Here is a 17283-nt window from a genome sequence, read left to right as displayed (position 1 = left end):
CCGGCTTGCAGATACAGCTAGAGTCCTGCCCCAGGTCACGGCCCGGAGTGGGAGGTCCAGGCCCCTACCATGGAGCCTGCAGCTTGTCATTCTCAGACTGAGGCAGGGCCCTTTGACAGGGCCATGTATGGTCACCCCGTCGCCAAGTCAGAGCCCTTATTAAGAATACAGGACGCATGGGCACTGCCCCCAGCCCTGAGTGTGGTGGGGGCCCTGGGTGATGACCACACTGGTTTCCACGAGTGAGAACCATAGGCTGCTGGGGCCCCCCCAGCTCCCATCAGCTGAGATAATGGGGGCCTCTGGGCCCCGCGGAACACTAACCAAAGCGGCCCCTTTCCTCCTCCTCTATTATTCATGACCTCCAAGAGGCTGTAAAAGTCCTTTTTTCTCTACAGGAGCCATCGATACGATGACAAATTTTATCTATGAAGTTGGTCCCTCCCTGAAAGCCAGTTGGCTGTCGGGGCTGTACATAAGCCATAACCGAGCCGGGGCCCCCCGAGCTGCCTGCCACAGCTGTTTTTCCAGCAGCATCTTAGGGGCTGGCTGGAGGGGCCGGGAGATCCTTCCACCACCCCGCCTGACCTGCTGAAGGTTCTGGGCTCTGAGGCGAGGCCGTGTGGGGGTCTGTCTGGGCTTCAGTGGGGCGACTGCAGGCGTGGGCCCCGGGGGCAGCCGGTCAGCCCAGGTTCCCACTGTGGGCGCCATCCCTGGTCTCCGGGCCTGAGGACCCACCGCAGGGACCTGGCTGCGGCCGGCCGGGGCCGAGCATTCACACGTCACACACAGCCTCATTCTCACACCAGAAGCGTGCATTCTCTGTGGCGCAGGCAAGCCACACATCTGTGGACATGTGCGCCGAACTGTGAGGGCCACGCTGTCCGTGTGCAAAAGTGCTACGTGCTGTAAAATAAAAATAAAACCCTAAGGCCCCAACCGACTGAACAGGCTCCTCTTGGCCAAAGGGACTCCAGAGAAACCGGAACAACTGAGTTCCCAGTCATGATGGGACAGGAGGGCAGACGTGCCTCGCTCTCCCCCTTCCCTGCGGGAGTTCAGGCAGGGCTGACCAGTAGTGACGTTAACCTAGTGATCAGAGGACTGTGACCCTAAGACTCGAATTATAAACAGGACCGAAGGCCGCCAGCCCAGGGTCAAGTCATGCACCCCACACGCCACTGTGACCTGGTGTATCGGTTAAAAGACTTCTTAATCTTCACCGAAAACATTCCTTTCTGATGACTGCACATTTATAGACAAAGCTTTACTTCTTTAACTAATTGCAAATGAAATAATCTCTGGCCCCGCTGACGACCTGTCAGCCCCCTGCTTCAAGACACCCTGCCTTTCTGGGCTGAACCGATGTAGAAGCTCCTTGAACTATGACTGCCTGCAATTCCGTCACACTAAGGTGGGTGGGAAGCAGAGCTGGTGTCTGGCTGCCTCAGGACCCCCCACTCAGGGCTCCCTGGGTGTGTGCACTTTTTCCTGGGCCGCGGTCACTCATATTGGCTCAGAAGAAAGCTCCGTGTTCTACGGAGTTGGGTCTTTCCATTAACCATGCTCTCCAAGCGCTAGATGGGCAGAATGCATACTTGTGTGCAACGGCTTAGCTCCTCACAGGGCTTAGCTCCTCTTCCCTCCCCACCGCCTCCTGAGCCCCAGGCCTGGCCTCATTGGCAGATAAGGACAGGGGCTCTGTAGGGGGAAGCTCCTTGCCGGGCTGTGAGGCGGCAGCTTACGGAGTGGGCTCAGATCCAGGGGACTGGGTGCCGCCCTTGGTCATGACTCCCCTGCACACAGCTGCTGGGACATGGGGCACAGGCACAGGACACTGGGAAGAGCTTGGCACCAGAACCGGGGGAGGGAGGGCCCCACCCACACCCTGTCCTGGGCCTGCCACCTTGGGCAGTCAGTGCCTGGCCGAGAGCTACTACCTCCTGCCCCAGGGGAATCCTCTCCTTGCAGGGCCGTGGCAGGTTCTGAGGGGCTACTGTGTGCCTCCTTGTGAAAGCGGCAAGGTTGGGCTGGCCGGGCAGGCACACAGTTCTGGTTCACGCGGGTGCCCACCTGGCAGTGGCTGAGTGGCCCAGAGCCTGGGTGCCCAAAGTTCCCTCAGCCCAGGTGTGCCCGTCACTGGTGCTGCCCTCCCTGTTGCCGCCTGGAGCCCTCCGGCCCACTGGGGAGGGCAGCTTCTCCTGATCTTTCCACCGTGTCAGGAGCAGCTGGCCTGAAAGGGCAGAAGTCAGTGTCCAGGGCCCACAGAAACTATGTGCTGGGCAGGAGACTCTCCTGATCTTTTGAGAGCTGTGGGTACGGGCTCTGAGCTGGCAGTGATATCAGGGGACCCAGAACCCCGCTGTGGGTAGAGTAAGGGCTCCCGGAGACCTGGAGGCAAGCCCGCCCTGCAGTGACCCTGGGACCCTCAGCCTCTCGTGCCTAAGGGAAGGGGCTGCCTGTACTCTGCAGTTGGCAGAGCCTGCCCATTGGTTCCTTGACCTAATGATTATGAGCCATTTTGGCAGGAAAAAAACCCAAACGAACAAGTGGAAGCTTCTAAGACCCTGGCCAAGAGAGTCATTCCACACATCCTGAGCATCTGCAGAAATTAGGACCATCCCCAAAGACTCAAAAGATACAGGGATGGTCAGTCCCACTGTCCCCACTGTTCCCACTCTGTTCACCCATATGGTCCACAAAAACCAGCAGCATCATGGCCGATGGTGATGGATGAACCCAACCCAACGCAGAGTCAGCCCACATGGAAAATGCGCCGCCGGATGCGATACCTCGACTGAACCGAGTCACCACATCCTCTGGCCCTGGGTGTGTGCGGTGTGTCTAGCAAGTGTGTCCTTCTCAACCACCTCAGTAGAGAGGGGCCCACCCAGCTGCCTGTGAGAGACAGCAGTGCTCCAGCCACTGGCACTTTCTTGCTACTCTTGCAATCCAGTGCTCTGGGACACTCCTGGTCTGCGGAAAATGATGCTGATCAGCTACATTCGTGACGTCATGCTTAGTACGTCACATGGCAGGTGGTCCAGACCTCCAGGAACCCATGCAACAATGGTAGCCATGATTAATGGACAATGGAGGAAAAACTCTAGCCCCGGTCCCCAGGCATTTGGCTGGGGAAGTCAGTGCAACATAACATGACTGGCTGTGGCACTGGTGACCCCTCGGGTGGCCCTGAGGGCAGGGATGAGCTGTGAGCACCGCCTTGGGTGTCACTGTGGCTGAGGGAAGGATGGATGCAGGCTCCTGGGCCATGGCAGCTGGCCTGGATGACCAGGTAGGAGCCTGTGGGAAGCATAGGCTCGAGGACCAGGAGGTATGGGGGGAGGGCTGTGGGTGGGTGTGCAGGGTGGGCACACAGCTTGTGGCTCTCTGGTCCTGTGCCTGCTGGAGAGCATTGAGGGACAGGCTGGCTGGGGGAGGGGCTGCTGCAAGACACCCTGGGCAGCAGCCAAGGCCCTGTCTTGGGACACAGAGGGAAGGGATGGGTGAGACTCCTCTGCGGGGCAGTGCCTGCCTCCCCCTTGCCCCGTTCTGGGGCACATGCACCAGCAGCTCTGAGTGGAGGAAGCTGGGCAGGGCCAAGGAGGCTTGGTGGGGCCCACTCAGCCCAGGGCTTCGGGGACTCAGGAGCGGCCCCTCCCTCGTTCCCAGGGCCTGACCTTGCTCAGAGCCCGCAGGAGGCCAGCCGGGGTGGCAGGAGGGCTCCCAGAGGTGGGGCAGCCAGGCAGGGACCTGCTGACCGTGTCCTGTGGCCGGGGGTTGGGATCTTGGGCCTGGACTCCAGGGGCCGCTGCATGGGCCAACAGAGCCTTTCCCTGCCCTTTCCAGAGCCCGAGGGGAGAAGCCTTGTTCCTGAAACTGCCTTTTCCTTGCCACATCCTGTTTCCATTTCTTACGAACGACAAAATCGATTGGATGTGCCAGAAGTGCCATTGCTTGCGATTTAATGCCACCTTCCCTGGGGCTCTCGGGTCTTTCTGCAATCCCACGATGAAGCCAGCCACAAGAAGTTCAGAGAAGGTCACTAAAAGAGGGCCCGAGAAAAACCCTCTGAGGAGCTGGGCCTGAGTAGCCTCTGGCGGCAGCAGTGATGGGCTCACGACGGGGCCTCTCTACCCAGCACTGGGTGGGCACGAGGGGCCAGGCTGGGGTGCCAGGCAGGGGGCATAGGACAGTGGGCACTGGAAAGTCCGGCCAGGCCCATCCCACCACTGCACCGGGGCTGCTGCAGCCTCTGCTGGGGAGGGGCCTGAAGCCAGGGCTGCAGGAGAGGAGTGTGGGGATAAGGAAAAAAAAAAAAAAACCGAGAGAGGGAGGGCTGGGGAGGGCTGGGGAGGGAGGCCAGGGTCAGACTGAGGAGTGGGAGGTGGAGCTTAGCTCCGAGAGGAGCCACCAACCCCGTCCACAGCTTTCCGGTCTCGGATGAGAGCGTGAGGTCTTTGTACAGTCAGAAGCAGGGGGCTACACGCAGCTCAAGTGTGCCACAGAAATTCCGCTGGACCGACGCCTGTCTGTGTTTCATATGCACGCAGTCACGTGCACAACCAGGCACACCGAGTCTCACACGTGTGCACACACACACCTTCTCTCTCTGTCTCACGTCCCCCACGGGGCCCCAGCAAGCTCTGACCCCAAGAGGCTTTGTGTGGCCCCAGGCTTCAGCAGAGGTGGGCAGATGCACACGTGAGCCCCACTCTCCCAGTTCCCCGGCACGCGAGGTGCAAGCAGCCATGGTGTCTCCTCGCTCATAAGGGGAGGACCGCGATGTATGCACGTCCGGGGCCCCCAGAGGCTGAGTGTGGCCAAGTGCTGCCACTGCCTTTGTCACCAGTGCCCAGCGCCTGCCCGTCACTTTGACAAGGCCCAGCCTGTAGAACCCACTGGGGTAAACGCAGGGAGAACGCACTGTTACAAAGCCACTCTGCGACTCCTCCGGGCCTGTGGGGAGAGGGGAGTCTGCAAATAGCCACTTAGGCCAAGAATTGCTCCAGACCCCTGCAGGAGTGCCCCTCATGCTACAGATATTGAACGAGGTATCTGAGTACGCAGGGAGGTTTCTGGGCCCCACATGTGAGCCCTGCGTACACACCCCATAGCTGTGTCATGCCCAGGCAGGTGTGCACACGCGCCTGGCCCACGGGTACCTGTTCTCCTAGCATCTAGGGTACTGTGAGGTTACTCAAGTCTCCCCCTTACCCTCCCACCTCCTTTGCTCTTCTGTCTGGGGGAGAAGGCGTGTGAGTAAGTGGCCGGCGTCAGGCGGGAGCAGCAGGGGCATGTGTGTGCTGCGTGTGTGCTGCGTGTGTGCTGCATGTGTGCCGTGTGTGTGTCATGTGTAAGCTGCAGTGCCTTGCCTGGCACCACACAGGGAAGCCAGGCTCTGGCCTCCAATTTACAAGGCAGTTTGTTGGGACCCCTGAATGTTGGCCATGTACAGTTGTCCAGGTTGCACAATAAGGAACTAATTTAGGTTTACTGGAGGAGGGGTCAGATGTGCCGTGGGGGCGCCTCGATGTGGAGCACCCAGGAGAGATGTTGGAGATCAAAGGGCACAAGCAGGCTCTTGTAGGAGGAACTGTGTCCGACCCTGCTCACCATGTCCGTCGTCTGGCCTCACCTGCCCTGGCTCTGTCCCTCACTTGTGCTCCCAGCCCCCCGCAGCTGTCCCCATTCCCACGTATGGTGCTGCTGCATCCTCGGCATCTCTTCTTCCCACTGGAGTTGGAGCAGACCCACCGTGAGCCGGCACATGTGCCCACCCTGGGGCCTGGAAAACCGTGGAGGGCGGCACCCTCGCCAGCAGGGTTTGCACAGTCGCCTGGGCTTCCCCAGGAGCCCACATGGAGGTCATTCCCGAGACCGCCAGCTCCCTGCTGGGAATCACGTTTGCTTGTGAGGGATGTGTGTGTCCCGGTGGGAGAGCCATCAGGGAGCTGGGGATTAATAACCTGCACCCACTTGCCAGGTGGGAGGCCAGGAGCCCTCTGGGGTCCTGAGTGCTTCATGTTTGGGGCATGCTGCCCATGCCAGCCACAGGGATGCTGCCTTGAGACGGTCGGCGACTTTGTCATGGTGTGTGGTCTGCGGGTGCATGAACACACCCACTCCATAGCAGCCCGAGGAGCTGACGGAGGCTAATTAAGTTCTAGGCTTTATATTACACGAAATGGGGGAATCTTCTATAAAATCACCACTAAACGAAAGCCAAGTGCTGTGTGTGTGCAGAGCCGCCTATAAAGGATTCCCTGCCTGGCAGACACCGGAGAGGCTGAGGCTGTCTGGCAAATGTGGGGAGGGAGTTTATTGCTCACCATATGATAAAATAATGGAGTCATTAAGAGAAAATACTTTTCAGAGCATTAAAATTAGAGGTGAATTGATTCAGTGGTAAAACAGTCCCATTTTCCTTTTTGGGGTTTATTTAGAGCTTTTATGCGGCGTTCTCGCTATGATCCTGTTTGGAAGCCGCCCTGTGACGCGTCAGCTTCCCCGTGCTGGCTCTGGCCGCCCCGAGGCAGGACCGCTGCTGTGGATGGGAGGGTGGCAGCCTCCAGAGACCCTGCACACACCTTCCTGCTGAAGGTATTGGGGAGGCTGAGGGCAGGAGGGGCTTTCTGGGGACGCAGGGACCCCCCTTTGCTGCACAGATCCTGTCACTATTCATGTAGCACACTTGAACCCTGTGTCCAGTGCGCCGTGGCCCCAGAACCAACCGTGAGTGATGTCCAGGCAGGGCCTGCGGCTGAGGTGTGGCTAGGGGCAGGGCAGGAGTCCCATAGGGCTCAGGGGCGCTGGGAGGGGCTGGTGCTGGGGGTGGCAGTGGGAGCAGGACAGAAGGGGCAGCTCGCCAAGCTGGGGTTGGAGGGGCTGAGTGCAGGAGCCCTGGGGAAGGGCTGGAGCAGAGAAATGGGGTGGATGAGCTGGAAAGGCAGCGAGCTGGCCTCACAGACCCCGGGGTGCACCAGGGAGGCCCTGAAGGTGCAGGGCCCACCCAGCACCACTGCGGGGATGCACGTGACCTCCCACGTGGACCACGGCAGCAGCACGTGCCTGACTGAGGCCTCTGTGCTCCAGCTCCCTCTGCGCTTCACAAGTAGTGGCCCAAGCTCATGGCTCCCAAGGAGCTGTATGTCCCCTTTACAAGGGAGAAACTGAGGCTGAAGGTAGAGCAGGCGACCCTGTGGCCACAGGCAGCATCGCTGAGCTCCTGGGCAGAGGGGCTGACTCCTTAGGGTGGCCAGACAAGGCCCAAACGACCTCAGTTCTTCCTGCCCTGGCCGCAGCCTGGGTTCTGTCCTCACCTTGGTGTGGTGAAGGTGGAACAGCCCTGCCCCTGGCAAACTCCATCTTTTTTTTTTTTTTTTTTTTTTTGAGACGGAGTTTTGCTCTTGTTGCCCAGGCTGGAGTGCAATGGCACGATCTCGGCTCAGTGCAACCTCCGCCTCCCGGGTTCAAGCAATTCTCCTGCCTCAGCCTCCCGAGTAGCTGGGATTACAGGCATGCGCCACCACGCCCGGCTAATTTTGTATTTTTTAGTAGAGATGGGGTTTCTCCATGTTGGCCAGGCTGGTCTTGAACTCCCAACCTCAGGTGATCCGCCCGTCTTGACCTCCTAAAGTGCTGGGATTACAGCTGTGAGCCACCGTGCCCGGCTGCGTGCCCTGTCCTTTTATGGACGAGGATGCCAGGCTTGGCAAAGGCCTTTGAGACATGTCATGGCCATTTGGCCCTGTCCCTGGGGTCCCCGAGCTGCAGCAGGTGCCCCTCAGGGGGCACCTCAGTTCATTGTCTAGCCTCCCGCCCCCACTGGACCCAAGCAAGCGTTAGGGAGTGGGGGGCCCGTGTAGGGGGCCGGGGTCCTCCAGAACCCCTGCTCCCCAGGCTGCCCTGGGGCTGGGAGTGGGGAGGATGCCCAGGGCCGCCAGCACTCTAGAGCTGCTGGGTGTTTATCTGGGAGGCGATCTCCCTGCTTCTGGGCTGAGTTACAGTTCCATTTCTGTGGCTGAGGAGCGCCGGCCTCATGGGCCCCCACAACAGAGGACTGTGCATTTTAATCCCGGCAGGGTCCAGAGAGGGTGCGTGGCTCTAAAAGCCGGCGTGATGGATTTCTCTGGTCTTATCTTCATCTCGGCTGCCTCCTCAAAGACGGTGTTGCTCGGCCTCCTGCACACCACTATCTGGAAGCTGCTTTTAAAAGTGGGAATATTTGGATTCCAGACAATGGGGGGAGAATATTGGAAACGGAACTCTGAGAGGTGGAGCGAGCGACTGAGCTGCTGTCTAGAAGTGCTGGCCTCTCCTGGTTCCCACCTCAGGCCCCGGAGGGCCCCTCCCTGCTGCACAGCCGGCTGTGGCTCCTCCCGTCCTAGGCTGGGTGCCATACGCACTCCCACCTCCGGCCCTTCCTACCCCAGGGGCCTCCTTAGGTGCTTGCGGGCCTGGGCCTCCTGTGCCAGCTTTTGCCCCACCTCGCTCCTGAGCCTCCTTCTTTGGCAAGTCTTGCTTGATGGGTCTCAGGTGTGCCCCTGCCCATCTGTACCCCCAGGCCAGGGCAGCCCTGGCTCCCAGGACCGGGGTGGCAGTGTTTGCGGTGCTGAGGGGTTGTATGCGCAAATGCCTTCCCGTGGGCCCCATCTTGCAGTGTGGGTGGAGGCAAGGAAGCCGGGTGCGGGCAGGCTGGTGAGGTGCAATCTATTCCCTCTGTCATTACTTCTGCCAGCCCCGGGTCCTCCGCTTCCGAGGGGCTTCCCTACCATCCCCCACACAGACCTCAACAAGCACAGGAGAAACCAAGGCCCTCACGAGTCAGGCGGGCCAGGAGTCACCCCCAGATTGTCCTCTGCCCTTTCTGACTTTTGCGCCGCCCGAGCCTCCAGTGACTGGTCACTCCTGGGGAACCCTGCCCCCGGCTTGTCCTTAAACCACAAACCGGCCTCTCCAAAGCCCGAGGCAAGACCTGGGTCTCACAGGTGGGCATTTTTGACAAATTTTCTCTCTGCTGTGGTCAGCGAGTTCAGCTCACGTTCACACAATTCAAAGGGAGAGAAGTTGGGGTTCTCTCCATTCAGAGTCTCCAGAGCCCCGAGCCACCTGGTCAGTGCTCACCTGCAGAGCCCGTACCTGTGACTGTCTGAGCACCTGCTCGCTCACACCTTGTACACCGGTGGTGAGTCAGAGACCCTCCTGACAGGGTCAGTCAAATGGCATGGGGGTGCAAGAAAGCCCTGGGGAGCAGTCTCCAAGGCAGGGAGGTGGGTCTGTCTGTCACAGATAAGCTGTGGCCTCTGCAGAGCCGAGACAGCAAACTGAAAAGGCCGCGTGGCCAGGAGCCCTGGACCCCGGCAAGGCCGTCCTTCCAGCCCACTCGGGCGTGTAACTGACATCCAGGGGGCACTCTGGGAAGCTCGGGAATCACCCCTAGAAAGAGCCTGTGTTAAGTGCATCCCCTTCTCTCCTTCCCAGAGAGCCTCAGGCTTGCCTCCATTGAGTATGCACTAACCCTGCGGTCCCCGGCAGCCCCGGGTTGAGCAGGGACTTCACATTGTCTTCTGGTCTCATCCATCCTGCCCAGCTCTGCTGCCTGGGAGCCTGAGTGTGCCAGGGCAGAGCCCCATCAGGGAGTCAAATGTGTGCGGAGGACAGGAGGCTGGGGTGGCTGTGAGAGGGAGCTCTGCCCAGCAAGGATGCTGCCCTCAGGCTGAGATGGCTCTGCCCATGGGGTGAGCATCTGCCATCTGTCTTCCCCTTCATGGTGCCCTCCAGCCTGAGGGTGGGCCGGGTGGAGGCTGAACAGAAAGGTCAGGCGGTGGCAGGGACAGGACCCTGGGCAGGAGCTGGCTGGAGCCCCACCGTTACTTTCGCACAGACCCCTGTGGGTGGTCGGAGGTGCCTAGAGCAGAGGGTGGGGGTGCTCTGAAGTTGTGAGCCAGCCAGCCAGGGAACCCACGTGGGCTGGGACATGTGTCTGGGTGGGGTGGGGGTGCCTGCCTGGGCCCCCCCTTTCTCAGTGCGGTGGGGGGGACAGCAAATCGCATCTTGGCCCCTCTCTGGGGAAGGAGAGGGTGCAGCCGCTGCTGCAGTGGAGGCCTGAGGGCCCCGAGGGGCTGAGCACTGACTGCCCTGCTGGTTCTGTCTCCAGGGCCCTGGCGCTTGTCCTTGTCCTCGGGGCTGGGCTCTTGCCCTTAGGCCAAAGCTGGAGGTGGTTCAGGAGCCAACAGCCAGTGTGACCTCCATGGGGACACTGGCCAGAACCTGCAACTGGAGGGAATGGGGAAAGGCAAGCTGCCTTGGAGATGGGTCCGGGGAGGAGCACGGAGGGGCCAGGCCCCCCACAGCTTGCACACTCATGGTGACAAAACTGCCTGCTTCCCGCAGCTCACACGCTCCTCCTGGGGACAGGCTCCTTGGAAGCCCTGGGGCCCAGAGCTGGCTCGGCAGCCTCCCGCTGGAGGCCCCCAGCTCGTGAGGAGTTGACTCCCCCAGATGATGACTAAGGAGCTGTGGGGCACTGGGTGCTCTGTCCGCAAAGGCTCTCCCCGAGCCCGTGGACTGCTCCCTCTGGGCTCTGAAGATGAGGGGTGCTCGGGTCACTCATGGTGCGTGGCCGAGAGTGACTCCAACCTGACTTTGAGACGGTGCTAATCCTGGAGCACCAGGTGGGGAGACTCGCCCCTGAGAGGCTGACCTGATAAGGTCCACAGGGTGGTGGTGCTGCGGGCCCGGGGCCGGTGTGCTCCAGCTCTGTGCATGCCTGGATGTGGCCCTGGCCAAAGGCATTGCTGCCCTGTGCAGGGCTGGATGGTGGCCTTGAAAGCAGCTGCCTGGGACCTCAGATGCCCCATCCTGCCGGCAGGTCAGCCTGGCTTCCCACGGTGCTGGTGAGACAGGCGCCATGCATTGTTGAGACAGCGGAAAGCAGTGACGTCTTGGAGGCTTCTCGGGTCTGGCGGGCTGGGGACCACCATGTATGCCCACGACAGGACCCCCAACCTTTCAGCGCCACCCTGGCTGCCAGAGACACTCACGTGGAAGATACCGATATTAATAAATAACTTTTGAGTTACAAAACCATTGCTATCGCTATGGTGGGTGACAAAAGCCCCATGGTTGATGGGCAGCCGCGGGGCGTGAAATGGCTCGTAAATGTCCCTCCCGCCAGCCCCACGAAGCTGCGGAGGCAGTGCTGGGTGCTGAGACGTTGCGGTTTAAGACCAATGTTGATTAGAATTTTTTTATAAGTTTTTTTTTATAAGAGTAATAACAGCTCTTTTGAGACAATCACATGGCTCAGGAAGGGTTTTAAAGACCTTCAGGAATGAGAATTGGATTCGCAATCAGGAAGCGCCTCCCCCGGGCCACTCTAACGCCGCCTGTTTGTGTCTTTTTATTGCCATTTGCCCTCCAGGGATGGAGCCCCTTTGATGACTGAAGCTCCTTTTCAAGATCAAGGGCGCTGTTCCAGCAATGCCCGGACCGGGGCGCCTCCCCATCTAGGATGGGGGCTGGGGACCCCTGAACCCTGCCTTCTGCCAAAGTCTGGCGAGTTCAGGCCCAGGACAGCTGCCCAGTGTCCACCCAGGAGGCACCGGTGCCTGGAGGAGCTCGGGTCGGGCAGGTTGGCGGTCCCGGCTGTCGTGGGGCAATGGCCACCAGGTGGCAATGGAGGACTGGCCAGTGAAGAGGGATGCAGGAGGCAGGGCCTGACCCCGGGGGTGGGGATTGGCGGGACTGGGGGCCTGTGCTGTAGGGCTGTCCCACACTTCCCTCAGGCCCAGAAGCCTCGCTACCCAGAGGAACCCAGAGACAGCAACGCATTTCCTAAGGGCAGGAGCAACAAGGCCGGAATCTCGGGCAGGAAGGACCCACGTGGGTGTCTGGGCTCAGGGCAGCTTTTTTACTGGGACAAACTGCAAACTCATGGGCCCTGCAGTGTGCGGTGGCCTCGGGACACCCGGGGGAATCCCAGCCCAGTGGGGCCACGTGGCTCCCCAGTGGCATCCTCATGCATGGGCTGACTCCACTCTGGGGGCACCAGGGCCCCCTCCTCCCCCACACACAGCCTCACATGGGTCAGGGGTCCCCACAGGCAAGAGGGCTGCAGACAGTTCTGGGGAGGGGCTCCTAGCCTCGGGGGCCTGGCCATTGGCCCTGGTGCTCGGTGCTCAGGGAGGCAGCACACGCCTGTGCCCCTTGAGGGCTTGTGGGCTGGCCGGCTCAGCCCTGGCTTTGGGGGTGGGGTTGTGCAGTGGGCCATGCCCACACCCGGCTTTCTTTGTTGTGCCAGGAGGCAGGCTGTGTTCTGGGGAAGGGCCGGAGCTCCTCTTCACAGTCACAGCCCTGGATCAGGGTGGGTGTGCAGTCCGTCCCCAAACACCTGGGATCCCTCGGCAGGGCTGTTAGGCCGTGTGAGTTGGTGCGGCCTCCCCAGAGCATCTGGCAGCCGTGGGGGTGTTGGTGTCCTGAGGGCTGTTTCCTCTGCTGGGGGTGGGGTTTCCCACTGGGAGTTCTTCTATGGGACAGGAAGATGGCTGAGGGTCCTCTGCCCCTGCTCTCGAGTTCGGGGATAGTGATGGCAGCCTGCGCTGGGCTGAGGGACCAGGGGCCTCAGTTCCCCCGCAGCACAGGAGGAGGGGTCTGTGATGACTCTTTCCTTGGAAGGCAGCCCCAAGGCTCACCCTACAGGCCCTTGCTCTGTGCAGCCACCTGCTCCTGGCTGGGACAACATGCCCAGAGGCGGCCTTTGCTCTCCCTCCCTCCCTTCCTCCTTCCCTCCCTCCCTCCCTCCCTCCCTCCCTCCCTCCCTCAGGGAGCAGCCTGGGCTCATCAGGGAGACCCTCTCCCTCTGGCTGCCAGGGAGTGGTGAGGTAGTTTCCAAGCCGTCCTTGCTGGGGCATGTGGGTCTGAGCCTCAGGGTGTCTGCCCAGCATCCTTCCATGTGCTTGGACCCCATGTGCTGTGCAGATCCCAGGGGACCCTGGCCACCCCTTTCATTGGCCAGACAGCTGTGTCCGTAGAGCTCTGAGGGACTCAGAGCCCAGACATGGGCTGCAAGGGGGGTGGGTGGCTTCTTCTGCAGGTGGGGAAGAGCAATGGGGCCTGAGCCGCATGGACCCAGGAGCTCCACCAGCACCTGTCGCCTGCTGTGTGACCATGAGCAAGTCCAGCCACCTCTGTGAGGCCATGCCAGAGCATTTTGACTCAGCCCCAAACTGAGCCCGGATCCTAGCCCACATGGAGCCCTGATCCACCTCACACAGAGGCCTAACATTAGCTCACACTGAGTCCTGATTCCAGACACATGGAGCCCTGATTCCAGCCCACCCTGAGTCTTGATCTCAGCCCACCCTGGACCCGGATTCTAGCCCACTCTGAGCTCTGATCCCAGTCCACCCTGGACCCTGATTCTAGCCCATCCTGAGCTCTGATCCCAGCCCACCCTGGACCTGGATTCTAGCTCACTCTGAGCTCTGATCCCAGCCCACCCTGGACCCGGATTCTAGCTCACTCAGCTCTGATCCTGGCCCACCCTGGGCCTTGATTCCTGCTCACACAGAGTCCTGACTGCCGCCCGCACAGTCTGACCCAGGCAGGGCTCTGAGAGTCCGTGATGGCTGAAGGAGCATCAAAGTGGAGGGGACACATGGCGGGCTGGCATACCTCCTTCTGCTATGGGGTGGGAGTGGTCTTGGAAAATGTCTCCAGGAAGTATTTGACTCCTTTTTTTGATCCTCCTCGTTGTGGTTCTGGGGCCCACGCGACGTGTGGGGCAGAGGCTGTTCGTGGCCGTTTCTCTTGGTGTGGATTCCGCCGTTAGAACTTCTTTTCCATGGAGCAAGACTTGCTCTTAACCAGCAAACCCCAGAGGGAGGAACTCCCCATCGCTGGGCAGGCCCTGGAGGCTCTTTGTTGGAGGGCTGCAGGCTGGGTGGGGTCCCAGCCACGGGGTGGTCATCAACGCAGGGGCTGAGCAGAGGTGAGGACATCAGCGGGGCAGGAGGAGCAGCCTCTGCGGCCCCTCCAACCTGAGCCTGGGTGCCTGGCTGAGCTGGAGCTGAGCTGGAGCTGAGCTGGAGCTGGACGCACAGGCAGCCCTGCCTCCCACTCCGTAAACTTCCCTGATGATGCTGCCTGTCAGGCTCCCAGCCCCGTGTCAGTTCATTCTCTCTTCCACTCCACCCAGGATCCTGATCCTGCGTAACCACACTGACTGCGTGTGAGTGGGGGGGAGTTCTGAAAGATTACCTGCCACCAGTCCGTATGTAAATCCCAGGTGATTTATAAGCATGGACGGTTTTAAGGTCACCGGTGCGCAGAGCAGGTAGTCGGCCAGACTGCTGAACCAACAGTTTCCAAAGTGAGCGTGAAAGCATGAACCTGGCGCCTGCCCCAGCCTCCGTGCTGCTCAGGGCAGCTGCCTGTGTCTCTGCTGGATCCTTACAGAGGACGCTGGGGGGGTTCTGTGGAGCCTCGGGCCCTGTGGGCTGTCGAGGGGAAGGGCGGTGGCTCGGCCTGGGCATGTGAGGCTCACAAGAGCTGAGGGGCGGGTCCCGGTGGGTGCGCTGGAGTCCAGGTGTCTGGTGGGGCCCGAGGCAGGGAACGGGGTCCCATTTCTCCTGGGATGAGGAGGGTGACAGCAGGCTGGGTGGCCCAGGAAGCTGAGCTGAACATCTCTTGCTCTGTAAGCGGATGCTGGCCAGACATGGTGGGGCAGGCAGCTGGGGCAGGGAGGAAGGAGTCCAGCCCTCACCCATCCCCACCTGGCTGGGGAGGGCACCCCAGCCTGCTGGCCTCTGGGGGCTGGGATGGGAAGCTGATGATGGAGGAGGGTGGGAGGTGAGGGGGAGACCTGCCTGGTGGAGGGAAGCAGGTGGAGACTACAGAGAGGCTGAGTCCCCACTTTGCCAGCCAGGCTGGACAGGGGACACAGATATGGAACCTCCTAACTACTGAACGCTGGTGCCCAGCTCAGACCCTGTGGAGGGGGCCACATTGCCTGCTGAAGAGCGTGGCTGGGCCCAGCTATGGCAAGGACAGGTGTCAAGGGCTGTGGGCTCAGGAGGAAGTGGACACAGTCACTGGTGGGGCCAAGGGGAGTCACAAGGCTGGGGCAGGGGGGTGAGGGCGGCTGGGGAAGGCACTGCCAGGCACCCAAGCTTGCAGAGCTTCCCAGCCAGTGGCCACTGGGGGACTCTGAACCAGGCCCCTTCCCTTTCTTGGCCTCAGCTCCTCTGTGCCTGAAAAAGGGGCACTAAGAGTGGTCCCTGTTGGCCAGTGGCTCCTCAGCTGGTCCCCAAGGACAAAGCACAAGGTGGCACCACTCAGTGGCTTCAGGAGCTTGCTCCTGGCTGTGTGCATGTGTGAGCATGCAAGCTTGTGCCTGTGTGCAATGCACGCATGTGCGTGTATATGGGTGTGTGCGTGTGTGGCATGTATATATCTGTGTCCATGTATGTGGGTGTGGACATACGCATACATGTATGCATGCATGGATGTGCGTGCATTTGTGTGAGTGTGTGTGTGCGTGTGTGTGTGCACCGGGGAGCAGGGCTGACTGTCCTGGACGAGGAGGAGCCAGGCCTGCACGCATGAAGTGGCAGGCGTCGGAGGCTGAGTGAGATGTGCTTCTCCCCGTCGCGGTGGGGCAGGCTGTGGATTGGCACGGCTGCCATGTCCTTTTCAGTCCTCTTAATGTGAAGTTAATTAGGCAGAACATTCAAGAAAGACATTTGGAAGTTGATCTCAAATCAGAAGAGCCCCAGTGTGAGGAGAGGGAGGGCGAGGAAAGCCCCTGCAGCTGGGGAGCCTGTCTGTGTGAAGCCGGGGTCCTGGGCTGGGTGGCACTGTTGCTGGGGGGCCCCTGGGTGGGGCATTCCTTCCTGCCTGGCTCCCCCTTCCCCATCTGTCAAGAGTGGAAACAGTGAATGCGGGGCGCCCAGGCAGCCTAGGGGGAGTAGGGGCGGGTTCAGGGCACAGCCCGGCTGTCAAGTCTTGGGGAAGAGGAGGGAGGGACTTCTCTGGTGGCCCCACTAGGGTTGCAGGTCCTCCCAGGGCTCAGCTCCCTCTAGTTGGCCCTGGGGTTGAGTCCTGACCAGGTGTCTCTGCTGTCCAGGGAGTCTGGGCCACAACTCTGGCAGCCTGGGGACCTGCCTCAAGAAGGATGGCAGTGCTGGATGCCTGAGTGCCCTCCTGGTCTCCCACCCCCTGAACGCCCATGGTCGGGGAACATAACCTCGTCTCTGCGGGCGAGGCACACTCTGCCTGTGGGGCCAGTGTGGAGAAGCTGGTCAGGAACTGGAGGCCTGAAACTCGGGTCAGGAAAACCCCATGTCTGTCCCTGGGTGTGCATCAGACCAGGAAGAGGGACAAAGGCCACAGCAGCCCCGGGGAGATGCCAGTGGGTGAGTGTGCCTGGAGATGGGGATGGAGGGAGGCCGGGTGGCAAGGAGGCCTCACATGCCAAGGCTATGGCACGGCCTGGAAGGCTGGTGAGGGGATGTGGGCTCTGCCTGCACCAAGGGCAGCCCTGGGCAGGCAGAGGTGAGCCATGGCCATGGTCAGGGAAGGTGGAACCGCTGGGCCGTCACCTTGCACGGTGGTCCCAAGGCCAGCATCCCCGGGTGCTGGGACAGCATGGGGCACAACAGCCAGCCCACATAGAAATGAGGCAACGGGTCACAAGTGCAAACCCACAGCTAGTGAATATTTAACGCCTAACAAAAGTGCATGCATCATTAACCAGGTGCTGGTGGAGGAGCTGGAATAATTTGTCTTCTTAAAGGGGATTTGGTAATTTGTTAAGCTATTTTGAAACCTGCAGTCTAGCTGTGGGAGCCGCTCTGATTTCTAAATTAATTTGTGTGATTTAGAAAGTGGAAGCCTCTTGGTTCTGCAGGGGCCGCGGGCAGCAGGGCGGCCTTGCAGGCTCCTAGGTGTGCTCTGCATTTGTTGATTGTCCCATCCATGGGGACCCTGCTGAGGAGCTCGGCCCTGTGCACCCCGCCTCTCCCACCACCCTTGTTTCCATATGTGGAACCCAGTGGTCCCCCACCTCCCGGATGAGTTAGTTTACGAGCAGGTGCCACGGGAAGGTGGTCTCTGGAGGCTCAGTTTAACCCCCCTCCTAAGAGGATGCTCTTGGGCTGGAGGTGGGTGAGGCCATCTGGCCTGGAGCTGCTGGGCTTGGCTCTGAGATTGGCTGACACATCTGCAGTTCAAGGACCAGGCTGTGAGAGTCAAAGGGTGAGTTGTAACTATCACAGAGGT

The 17283-nt window shown here is 60.6% G+C and overlaps 4 annotated features.

Annotated features, from left to right (window-relative positions):
• Positions 4237–4437: a silencer, noted in NCBI's record as "peak2258 fragment used in MPRA reporter construct". NCBI's record gives its function as "represses an SCP1 promoter by STARR-seq MPRAs in K562 erythroleukemia cells {active_cell/tissue: K562}" and the evidence as "EXISTENCE:reporter gene assay evidence [ECO:0000049][PMID:32103011]".
• Positions 10007–10751: an enhancer, noted in NCBI's record as "H3K4me1 hESC enhancer chr14:105031461-105032205 (GRCh37/hg19 assembly coordinates)". NCBI's record gives its function as "activates a minimal SCP1, AML or CMV promoter by ChIP-STARR-seq in naive and primed H9 embryonic stem cells {active_cell/tissue: H9 hESC(naive and primed)}" and the evidence as "EXISTENCE:reporter gene assay evidence [ECO:0000049][PMID:30033119]".
• Positions 10752–11498: an enhancer, noted in NCBI's record as "H3K4me1 hESC enhancer chr14:105030714-105031460 (GRCh37/hg19 assembly coordinates)". NCBI's record gives its function as "activates a minimal SCP1, AML or CMV promoter by ChIP-STARR-seq in naive and primed H9 embryonic stem cells {active_cell/tissue: H9 hESC(naive and primed)}" and the evidence as "EXISTENCE:reporter gene assay evidence [ECO:0000049][PMID:30033119]".
• Positions 12155–12716: an enhancer, noted in NCBI's record as "H3K27ac-H3K4me1 hESC enhancer chr14:105029496-105030057 (GRCh37/hg19 assembly coordinates)". NCBI's record gives its function as "activates a minimal SCP1, AML or CMV promoter by ChIP-STARR-seq in naive H9 embryonic stem cells {active_cell/tissue: H9 hESC(naive)}" and the evidence as "EXISTENCE:reporter gene assay evidence [ECO:0000049][PMID:30033119]".

Source organism: Homo sapiens, chromosome 14, assembly GCF_000001405.40.
Source record: "Homo sapiens chromosome 14, GRCh38.p14 Primary Assembly".
Taxonomy (NCBI): Eukaryota; Metazoa; Chordata; class Mammalia; order Primates; family Hominidae; genus Homo; species Homo sapiens.
Note: the sequence above shows the minus strand (reverse complement) of the source record. Positions and strands in the feature narration are given on the sequence as shown.